Source organism: Homo sapiens, chromosome 10 (assembly GCF_000001405.40).
Source record: "Homo sapiens chromosome 10, GRCh38.p14 Primary Assembly".
NCBI lineage: Eukaryota > Metazoa > Chordata > Mammalia > Primates > Hominidae > Homo > Homo sapiens.
Window position 1 is genome coordinate 72677537 of NC_000010.11, and position 12441 is coordinate 72689977.

Genomic DNA, 12441 nt, shown 5'->3' on the forward strand with positions numbered 1-12441 from the left:
CCTGGCCAACATGGTGAAACCCTGTCTCTGCTAAAAACACAAAAATTAGCTAGGCATGGTGGCATGCCTGTAATCCCAGCTGCTCAGGAGGCTGAGGCAGGAGAATCACTTGAACCCAGGAGGGGGAGGTTGTGGTGAGCCGAGATCACACCACTGCACTCCAGCCTGGGCAACAGAGCAAGATGCAGTCTCAAAAAAAAAAAAAAAGACTCAAAACATTTCCAGTATTAAATATTGAAATAAATGTGAGCTATACATGCATTTAGGAAAGATTAGGCCAGGTGAGGTAGCTCATGCCTATAATCCCAGCATTTTGGGAAGCCAAGGTGTGCAGATAACTTGAGTCTAAAAGTTCAAGACCAGCCTGGGTGACATGGTGAAACCCCCGTTTCTACAAAAAAATACAAAAATTAGCTGAGCATGGTGGTGTGCACCTGTGGTCCCAGCTACTTAGGAGGCTGAGGTGGAAGGATCGCTTGAACCTGGGAGGTGGAGGTTGCAATGAGCTGAGATCATGCCACTGTGCTCCAATCTGGGAGACAGACCAAGACCTCCCTCAAAAAAAAAAAAAAAAAAAAAATTAATAAAAGCAAGTAAGATTTACCTATTTTTGGTGAATCAGTGAGTAACAGTGGTCATACTGGTGGTGGGTTAAACCAAGGAATAAATGTGTGCAGAGTGAAAATTGTAAGGCGCAACTCCTCCCACCACACAGGGTAAATGAGAACAAATTCAGCAGTCTCCCTGAGTGCTTTCATACCTCATTGTTTATTGTGTATTTGTATGAGTATTGTCTACTTTATTGTGTATTTGTATGATTATCATCTACTTTACGAATTTTTATTTTACAATAATTTATATTCATTCATTCATTCATTTTCCGACTCATTTATTCCAGTTCAGGGTCCTGAGTGGCCAGAGCCTATCCTGACAGCTTAGGGAACAAGGTGGGAAGCAGCCCTGGATAGGACCTTATCCCATCATAGGGCACACATATGCACGCGTGCACACATGCACACACACTCACTCAGACTAGAACAATGTAGACACGCCAGTGAACCTAATGTGCACATCTTTGGGATGTGAGAGGAAAGTAGTTGGCATGGCATGGGGAGAACCAGCAAACTCTGCACAGACAGTGACCCCAGCCAGGAATTGATTCTTTTTTTACCCCCCTCATCAGCATTGTAATAAAACAACATTGGGTGAAACAATGTTATTCTAGAATCTAAAAGGGGACCACTGTGGGTGGAAATCCAGTCTGTGCTCCAAGATGTGCAACAGGGGTCTCTCTCTCTCTCTCTCTTTTTTTTTTGAGACAGAGTCTTGTTCTGTCACCCAGGCTGGAGTGCAATGGCATGTTCTCAGCTTACTGCAACCTCCGCCTCCCAGGTTCAAGCGATTCTCCTGACTCGGCCTCTTGAGTAGCTGGAGTTACAAGCACGCGCCACCACGCCTGGCTAATTTTTGTGTTTTTTAGTAGAGATGGGGTTTCACCATGTTGGCCAGACTGGTCTTGAACTCTTGAGCTCAGGTGATCCACCCACTTTGGCCTCCCAAAGTGCTGGGATTACAAGCATGAGCCACGGCGCCTGGCCAGGGCCTCTTTTTCTAATTTGTACAAAAGTGCTCCATTCTCTACACTTGTTTCTGGTCCACTATCTATTCCTTCCCACTTTCCCCAGGAGCTCAATGACTTTATATGCCATGACCCCTCACTGCAGTTCCCACTCTAACCTACCTCATACCTATTAGGCCATCCTGTATCATTTGATTCTGCACGAAAATCCTAATCTCTCCAGAGTCCTACTCTGTCAGGACTCTTCCAAGAGGCAAGTGCTAATTGCATAAATAAATTTCAGCTAAGGTATTGACAAGATCTTTCTTTAGTTATACTGTCCACTGGCATTTTCACAGAGGTTTCCAGTGCTCTAACCCAAACGAGCAAATAATGTGAGGGTTTGAGGTATTAAGGCAAAGCTAATGTAGCAAAGCAGTTTGAAAGCATAATTTTTTTGACTGGGCGCGGTGGCTCATGCCTGTAATCCCAGCACTTTGGGAGGCCGAGGAGAGCGGATCGCGAGGTCAGGAGTTCAAGACCAGCCTGGCCAATGTGGTGAAACCCCATCTCTACTAAAAATATAAAAATTAGCTGGTCATGGTGGTGTGCGCCTGTAGTCCTAGCTATTCCAAGGCTGAGACAGAAGAATTGCTTCAACCGGGTAGGTGGAGGTTGCAGTGAGCCGAGATCACGCCACTGCACCCCAGCCTGGTGACAGAGCAAGACTCCGATTCAAAAACAACAACAAAAAAGAAAACAGGATTTTTTTTTTCCCACAGCACATCCTACCTGCCTACTCTGCTAATGTGTAAAATTGGACGTGGCATTGCATATAGACAAGGAAGTAGAAGCTGCATATGTGTAAGGGCCAATCCTTCCTAGCCATATCAGCCAGTCCATTCAAAGAGTCAACAAGAACTTTGGACCCTATACTAGTACCTACCCCAAAGGAAGAGAGTGTAGGAGGGGCAGATTTTGTGGTATAGTGAAAAGAGAACCGCTTTGAGAGTTTGGAAACTTGGATTATAGTCTTGCCTTCACCACTAAATAGCTTTGTGGTCTTGGGAAAGTCAGTTATGCGCTTAGACCTCAATGGCTCCGTTGTGGACTAAGAGACTGAATTAGAGACCTGAATTAGAGACTCTTTCAAGTCTTTTTCAGCTCTAACCTTCTTTTTTTTTTTTTCTGGAGACGGAGTTTCGCTCTTGTTGCCCAGGCTGGAGTGCTATGGTACAATGAATGGCACAATCTCAGCTCACTGCAACCTCCGCCTCCCAGATTCAAGCAATTCTCCTGCTTCAGCCTCCCAAGTAGCTGGGATTACAGGCAAGCGTCACCACACCTGGCTAACTTTGTATTTTTAGTAAAGATGGGGTTTCTCCATGTTGGTCAGCCTGGTCTTGAACTCACGACCTCAGGTGATCCACCCGCCTCAGCCTCCCAAAGTGCTGGTATTACAGGCTTAAGCCACCACTCCCCACCTTCAGCTCTAACCTTCTATCTTGCTTTTTTTCCATTGCAAACTGAATGGCCTGGGAGATATAAAAGCAATGCTGAATTATAGCTTTAAGAGAACTATATTGGACTGCACATCAAGAGTGCTGGTTTCTGGAGGGGCAGATTACATTAATAGTTAAGAGTATAGGTGCTGGGGTCCTTCATTCCTGAGTTTGGGAACTGAATTTAAAACGATTCTTTTTTTTTTTTTTTTGAGATGGGCTCTGGCTCTATTACCCAGGCTAGAGTGCAGAGTGCAGTGGTGCAATCTCAGCACACTGCAACCTCTGCCTCCTGGGTTCAAGCAATTCTTCTGCCTTGGCCTCCCAAGTAGCTGGGACTACAGGAGCCTACCACCTCACCTGGCTAATTTTTGTATTCAAACAATTTTTTTTTAATTTTTATTATTTTTTTGAGACAGAGTGTCGCTCTTGTTGCCCAGGCTGGAGTGCAATGGTGCAATCTTGGCTCACCGCAACCTCGGCCTCCCAAGTTCAAGTGATTCTCCTGCCTCAGCCTCCCGAGTAGCTGAGATTACAGGCATGTGCCACCATGCCTGACTAATTTTGTATTTTTAGTAGAGACAGGGTTTCTCCATGTTGGTCAGGCTGGTCTCGAACTCCCAACCTCAGGTGATCCGCCTGCCTCAGACTCCCAAAGTGCTCCAAAGTGCTGGGATTACAGGTGTGAGCCACGGCATCCAGCTAATTTTTGTATTTTTAGTAGAGACGGGGTTTCACCACATTGGCCAGGCTGGTCTTAAACTCCTGACTTCAGTGATCTGCTCACCTTGGCTTCCCAAAGTGCTGGGATTACAGGCATGAGCCACCGCACCCAACCTGAATTTGGGCAGATTCTTAACCTCAATTTCTTCATTTATAAAAGAGGAATACTAAATTGTTTAATACAGATTCCTTAATACAAATTCTTTTTTTTTTTTTTTGAGATGGAGTCTCAATCTGTTGCCCAGGCTAGAGTACAGTGGCACGATCTCAGCTCACCGCAACCTTTGCCACCCAGGTTCAAGCGATTCTCCTGCTTCAGCCTCCCAAATCGCTGGGATTATAGGCGCCTGCCACTGCGCCCAGCTAATTTTTGTAGTTTTAGTAGAGACGGGATTTCACCATCTTGGCCAGGCTCGTCTTGAGCTCCTGACCTCATGATCTACCCACCTCGGCCTCCCAAAGTGCTGGGATTACAGGCGTGAGGCACCAGGCCCGGCAATACAAATTCTTAACACAAATTTCTTAATCTGTTTTATGAGATACTTTGTCACCTGCTCCTATTGCCTCTCTGATATCAAATGTTGCTACTCTCCCTCTGGCATTTACTCCTACTAATCTTTCAGACCTCACCCAATATTGCTTCCCTGGAAGTGCCTTCTCAGATCCTCAAATCTGGGTGAATGACCTCCTACAATCCTCCCCTGCTTCCCTTATTTTTATTATATGGTAAGCTTTGTTAGGCCAGAGACTTCATTTTGTTAGCTGTGGTAACTTAACCAAGTCATATTATTTGTTGAAATAAAGAGTTAATTTCTTGGACCTCAAGGATAACCATTACTGCAGTTGCAGAATTTGTTTTATTAAATTTAAGAAGTATTTCAGATCCTTTTAGCTAGGAGATGTCTGGACGCAGTGTAGTTACAGCTAACAGATTTGGAAGAGTATAAAGCCAAAGTTCATCTTATTTATTCAGATGCTTTTAGGAACTATTCTTTGTGACCAGCATTTATTAAAAGTGTATCTGTCAAGATGAAACAAAAATTGAGAATTCCATCCTAAAGGATGCATTCTAGAGATGATTAGGGTTTTACTTTTCAAAATTAGCCTGCTTAGTATTAGCTTATATGTAAAATTTAATTCAAGAAGATTCACTTATGTCCCAGGACTTTTTCTTTTTTTCGAGACAGCGTCTTGCTCTGTTGCCCAGGCTGGAGTGCAGTGGCACGATCTCAGCTCACTGCAACCTCCACCTCCCAGGTTCAAGTGATTCTCCTGCCTCAGCCTCCCGAGTAGCTGGGACTACAAGCATGTGCCACTATGCCCGGCTAATTTTTTGTATTTTTTAATAGAGATGGGGAGCCACCACACCCGGCAAGGACTTTTTTTTTTTTTTTTTTTAAGAGATGGAGTCTTGCTTTGTTGCCAAGGCTGGAGTGCAGGCATGTGATCTCAGCTCACTGCAGCCTCATCCTTCCTGGCTCAAGCGATCTTATCACCTCAGCCTACTGAGTAGCTGGGACCACAAGCATGTGCCACCACGCCTGGCTAATTTTGCTTATTTTTTGTAGAGACAAGGTCTCATTGTGTTGTCCAGGATGGTCTCAAGTTCCTGAGCTCAAGCAGTCTTCCTACCTCAGCTTCCCGAAGTGCTGGGATTACAGGCATGAGCCACCACACCCAGCCGGTCCCAGGACTATTTCTGAGAAGGGGACCTGGTTGGCAAACAAGCAGTTATTTGTCTCTTCATATTTTTTCACCTTCCAAAAGGCAAAATTGGTAAGAAAGCAGCAAAGCAGCAAAGGCGATTTTAAAAGAACCATTACATCTTTACAATCTTTATTAAATCCTCTTTGATATCAAATCTATATTGTGGGAGGTAATAATAAAGATATTTCGAAATTAACTTGGCATTCTGAGTAAGGACCTTTCACATGTCTTGGGTTAATCATCTAGTGGTATTATGTGAAAACTTTCTCTTCTTGGCAATAAACAAAATATTTTTATCAAATAAATAATAGGCATAATTGCTTCAGGGTCCTAAAGTAGTAGAATTTATAGATGCTGAAAACTCAGCTTAAATTTTTTATTTTATTTTATTTTTTTTGAGACAGAGTCTCGCTCTGTAGCCCAGGCTGGAGTGCAGTGGTACAATTTCGGCTCACTGCAAGCTCCACCTCCCAGGTTCATGCCATTCTCCCGCCTCAGCCTCCCGAGTAGCTGGGACTACAGGTGCCTGCCACCACGCCCGACTAATTTTTTGTATTTTTAGTAGAGACGGGGTTTCACCGTGTTAGCCAGGATGGTCTCGATCTCCTGACCTGGTGATCTGCCCGCCTCGGCCTCCCAAAGTGCTGGGATTATAGGCGTAAGCCACTGAGCCTGGCCAGCTTAAATTTTAACAAGCTTATTAGTTTAGTTATTTCCTCGATAGTGAGTAACCCAAAGGGCCCTGTTTCAACCTAATATATATATATCTTAGCAAAGCAAGGCATGAAGAAAGTAACACAATGTCATCTTATAATTCCCTGAGACAGAAATTTAGTTTTTACCCTAGGCAATGAAGTAGCTTAAAACTATTTAAATAGAATTGTACTCTACTATGCATTGACAGGAAAAAAATTACAATTTCTTTGTGTCTTTTTTTTTTTAATGGAGGCAGGGCCTCACTATGATGCCCAGGCTAGTCTCGAACTTCTGGGCTCCAGTGATCCTCCTGCCTTTGCCTCAGCTTCCCCAGTGGCTGGGATTATAGGTGTGCCACTGTACCTGGCTATTCCTCATGTCTTCTTTTTTTTTTCTTTCCGGAGTCTCGCTCTGTCACCCAGGCTGGAGTGCAGTGGCGCGATCTCGGCTCACTGCAACCTCTGCCTCCTCGGTTCAAACAGTTCTCCTGTCTCAGCCTCCTGAGTAGCTGGGACTACAGGTGCATGCCATCACACCTGGCTGATTTTTGTATTTTTAGTAGAGGCAGGGTTTCGCCATATTGGTCAGGCTGGTCTCAAACCCCTGACCTCAGGTGATTCACCCGCCTTGGCCTTCCAAAGTGCTGTCATTACAGGTGTGAGCCACTATGCCTGGCCTCTTCATGTTTTCTTAATAAAGTCATTGAGTGGGGTGATTATTACATTGGTGGTATGTTTTAAATTCATGTTATGTTAATGTTCTGAGATTACTCAAGGGATCTTTCATTCTTTGGAGTGATGTGTAAATGTTGGACTACAAAGTTATGGGAAGGATTTATTCCATTTCAAGGTCAGGGTTATGGTAGTTAGATAAATATTTCAGAAAAAGAAATACACAATATAGGGAATGCAAATTTTGGAAAATTTCTCCTCACATATGTTGCCTGGCACCTACTATTCAATATATTTTTCTTGACTGACTGACAACGAATGAATTAGTAAATTATATCAATCCAGGTCTTGTCGCCTACTCTTATCCCAACTCTGAATTAATAATAATTATTTTCTGAGCTTCAACCAATGCTTTTAGATGCTTTTGCTCCCAATTTTGGCAGCTGGAATGGCTTTTAAAGTGCCTAATTAAGAACAATTTGTTAATAATTATCTCTGAATAATTTCCTTCCCCCTTCTATTCTTTTTTTTTTTTTTTTTTTGAGACAGAGTTTTGCTCTTGTTGCCCAAGATGGAGTGCAATGGTGTGATCTTGGCTCACTGCAACCTCCAGCTCCCAGGTTCAAGCTATTCTCCTGCCTCAGCCTCCAGAGTACCTGGGATTATAGGCGCACACCATCATGCCCACTTATTTTTTGTATTTTTAGTAGAAAGGGTGTTTCACCATGTTAGCCAGGCCGGTCTTGAAGTCCTGACCTCAGGTGATCCGCCCACCTCGGCCACCAAAAGTGCTGGGATTACAGGCATGAGCCACCATGCCTGGCCTCCCTCTTCTATTTTTTAAGCTATCTTTATGCTCTCCAAGTCTTTTACTATTTTTCATTCCTTAGGTTAGTTTTTATTAAATAAAAGAGAACAAAACTTTTTCTCTCTGCCTTTTAATAAATGTGACCCTTTCTGTCATCCTTTCCTTGATCCTTTCCAAATCAGCAGCAGTTGCTGTAAGTGACGACTGAGAGACAAGATGCCAAGTGCAATGGCTAAATTTAAAGAGCAGCGTTTGCACCTGTTGTTAACCGGCAATGACCAATCTCACGCCTACAGTTTCCTCCACGCCCTGCCTGCCACCAAGTACAATCCATAGCCCAGATTCTATGTGTTCATGTGTAAATAAGTACTGATGAAGATTATATACATTATATCAAAATTGAGAACGAATATAGCTTTTTCTTTTCTTTTCTTTTCTTTTTTTTTTTAGGGATGGAGTCCTCCTATGTCACCAAGGCTGGAATGCAGTGGTATGATCATGGCTCACTGCAGCCTCAGCTTCCTGGGCTCAAGTGATACTCCCACTTCAGCCTCCCAAGCAGCTGGGACTACAGACATATGCCACCACACCAGGCTAATTTTAAAATTTTTTTGTAGAGATAGAGTCTCACTATGTTGCTCCCAGGCTGGTCTCAAACTCCCGGGCTCAAATGATCCTCCCAGCTTGGCCTCCCAACATGCTGGGATTACAGGTGTGAGCCACTGCATCCAGCCCCAAAAATAGCATTTTGAAAATATATTAGTTTAGTTTAAGAGGAGCTGAAATTTGGACAAAACCCGGCATGATATAAAGATGTATGGGACCTTGAAGAAGGCAGACTAATATGGCTCAGTATTTGATGAATTTTTGAAGACTTTTAAGGGACCAAAATAATTTTTTTAGACTTGCCATACTTTGTGAAATTCTTTTAAGATATCAGCATTGGAAGCTCCTATAAATATAAGTGTTGTATAAAAGAGGCAATCTAAGGAGGCAATCTAACTGACATCATCTAAAGTTAGCTTCAATTAATTTGCCAGATTGGCACCTCTAACCTGGAAGAGCTCTGTAGGAGAAAGATAGTAACATAAACAATTTTGATATGAAATATACATAGAATGGTGAAAGAAGGGAACTGTGGCCCAGCCAGTCAAAATAGCCTAATTAAGTAGATGTGATAATCAAGGCCTATGACAGACCTCCCAGTCAGATCAGCTCAGATCCAGGACCGAGATACTGAGATAGAAAGTCAAACAACAAATTATGAGAAGATGCAAGAGGGAGAGTTTAATTTTACTGGGACATTTACCCTCAGATGCGACCAAGCTGGTATTCAAAAGAACAGTAGGACAGGTGGCTACAGGGAGAGTAGGAGCAAAGAGTGGAGGTTGGAAGTGTCAGGGCATGTTCAGGGTACGGAGAGTAGATATCTGGGCAGGAGGCCGGGTGCGGTGGCTCATGCCTGTAATCCTAGCACTTTGGGAGGCTGAGGCGGGTGAATCACATGGACAAACCCTGTCTCTACTAAAAATACAAAATTAGCCGGGTGTGGTGGCACATGCCTGTAATCTCAGCTACTCGGGAGGCTGAAGCAGGAGAATCACTTGAACCCAGGAGGCAGAGGTTGCAGTGAGCCGAGATCACACCACTGTACTCCAGCCTGGACCACAGAGTGAGACTCCATCTCAAAAAAAAAAAAAAGATATCTGGGCAGGGGATTGCTGAGAGAGGAGCCACTTTACCAGTTTGGGATTTTTTTGTAGTTCAACCCTATTAGAGAAAGTTGTGATCTTTTGGCCCTTTTAAATGCTCTGGAATGGATGGTGTTGGGTCCCATAAGAATGTGAGCCGAATTCTTATTCACTTAGGAGGTGTGGTTTATTTAAGTGTAAAATTAGTGTCCCACCCCTTAAATCACTTCTGATAGAGACAAAAGACTTCCTATATCAAGAAGTCTAGTAAGCAGAAGATTACGGGAGACCACACGTCAACGGAACACAAAAAGGACAGCTTTAAAGTATGCTGCCAGCCTCTCAGATTCCGAGAAACACGAACAAAGATAATCCTATTTGAACAAGCCCTGCCCTTCTCAACTCAATGTTTTCCTGGAGTTCTGCTCTAGACAGAAAAACTTGCAGATTGGATGTTCCTGACCTAAAACAATGTTAGATTATAAGGCCACTAAGTTATAAAATGAATGTGGAGTCTGTCATCCTTTGGAGACCAGGACATGAGCCTCCTTCCACACAAAACATTTTACAGGGAATATATAAATCTATCTCTGACTTAGTATTTTTATTTATTCACTTTTTTGAGACATAATCTTACTCTGTCATCCAGGCCCTATCAGTGGCCCTATCATAGCTTACTGAAGCCTCCAACTCCTGGGTTTAAGGGATCCTCTCACCTCAGCCTCCTCAGTAGCTGAGAGTACTGACACGCATCACCACACCTGGCTAATTTTTTTGTAGAGCTAGGGTCTTGCCATGTTGCCCAGGCTGGTATCTCTGATTTAGAGTAGGGTCGAAATCTATATTAGAGTAAGGGAAATGGGAGTGTTGGAGGAAGAAAAAAGAGAAAAATGAGGAAGGAAAAATTGTGTGTGTGTGTGTGTGTGTGTGTGTGTGTGTGAAGTGAAAATAAATATAGATATAGACAGAAAAATATATGTCCTGCAGTTTAAGAGTAGAACCCTTCTCAACTACACTGACTAGAAATATTTATGATCCAGAGGAGCTGACAGAAAAAAGACAGAAATCATCACAGAAACTAGGAAGTCATGGGAACAGGCGTGGTAGTGATGAAGAGATGACTGCAGGTGGATATATGAGGAGAAATGGGAATAAAAACATCTGGAAAAACAGTAAAGCATAGCCAGCAAACAGGTCTAGGCTGTGGTTCGTGATAAATATTGGAAGGCGAAACCCTTTCCTTTTGGCTTTCCTCTTCGTATACCTTTTCCTGTTAAATACTGTTGATTTCACTTGAATAATAATTCGTATTATCAGTAAACAATGAAATGCAGCCCCTAGATCTCTGGGCAGATTCCTTTTATGCTTTCCTGATCATGTCAATGAACCGTGTGCATCACCTACCCTAGCTATTCTGGAATGTTTAGGCAAATACTCCACTGAGTTGAGTCATACTTGAGAGCTGACGTCAGTGTACATTTTAGTAGAGAACCCAGTTAAGGTTTCATGCTCCAGGAAGCCTGTTCTGATTAGTTTTAGCTTAAAAAAAAAAAAAAGATAGTAGAGAACCTAGTTAAGGTTTCTTGCTCCAGGAAGCCTGTTCTGATTAGTTTTAGCTTAAAAAAAAAAAAAAAAAAAAAAGATCAACCTGTGCTTAAGAGTTGGCACAGAAAACAATTCTGCAGCCATGTTGGTTTTAGTGACCATGTTTTTAAAATTACAAAGTAATATGCAGGTGAGAACAATTTACTTTTCATATATATATAAATTGTAAGATGTGTATACATATACATCTTAAATTCAAGCAGATGAGAATACTTTAAACCATTCAGAAGAATAGCTACCCCTTAAAACTTCCCAGAGGTAACATGTTTTCTTCTGGAAATTACCATCTATCTAAGTTATACATATATATAAATTACTTTAAAAAGGGTCATCTATACTGTGTTATCTATATTATTTAAATGTATAGATAGCACCTGTAATCCAAGCATTTTGGGAGGCTGAGGTGGGAGAATCACTTGAGGTCAGGAGTTCAAGACCAGCCTGGCCAACGTGGTGAAACCCCCATCTCTACCAAAAATACAAAAATTAGCTGGGCGTGGTGGTGCAACACCTGTATTCCCAGCTACTCAGGAGGCTGAGGCGAGAGGATCGCCTCTGAACCCAGGAGACAAAGCTTGCAGTGAGCCAAAATCGTGCCACTGCCCTCCAGCCTGGGCGATAGAGTGAGACTTCGTCTCAAAAAAATATATATATACACATATATAAATAAAAATATATATATTATATAATAAAAAAGTATAGATAGAATAATTTTTTTTTAAGAGAGAGAGTCTCGCTCTCTCACCCAGGCTAGAGTGCAGTGCCATGATCATAGCTCACCATAACCTCAAATTTCCTGGGCCCAAGCAAGCCTCCTGCCTCAGCCTCCTGAGTAGCTGGGACTACAGGCGTGCACCACCACACCCAACTAATTAAAAAATATATATTTTTAGAGATAGGGTCTCGCTGTGTTGCCCAGGCAAGTCTCAAATATGTGGTCTCAAATGATCCTCCTGCCTCAGTCTCTCAAAGAGCTGGGATTACAGATATGAGCCACTGTGCTTGGCCCTCAATTTTTTAATGGTTGAATAATTTTCTGTTACAAAGTTAGTGTCTAATGTATTTAACCATTTCCCTATTGGAAGACATTGAGGTTTTCTTCAACTTCTTTCTCATGAAAGTTACAATTTTTAAAAGTTTTCTGTGGTTGTCTTGCCCTCCTTTTTAAATGTAGTATCTCTGGAGTGATCAGCACAATCTCTGGCACATAGCAGGTATGTTAATTCCCTTTCCTTCTCTCTCTATATAATGTGTGTGTATATACAGGCACACACACACATACTTTTTTTTAGGTTTGAGAAGAACTTTCTGTTGAGCTATCTACACTTTCTCCTTATCAGGCTTGGCCAACCAGCTCATATGAGATATGTCCTTTGCAGCTATGAAGAAGTTTTTCTCTGTGAGGAGATAATTGATATTTGTTTAAATTAATTGCCGGCCTTGGATTATCAACACCCAGAACTGAGTATAGTCAGTGAAT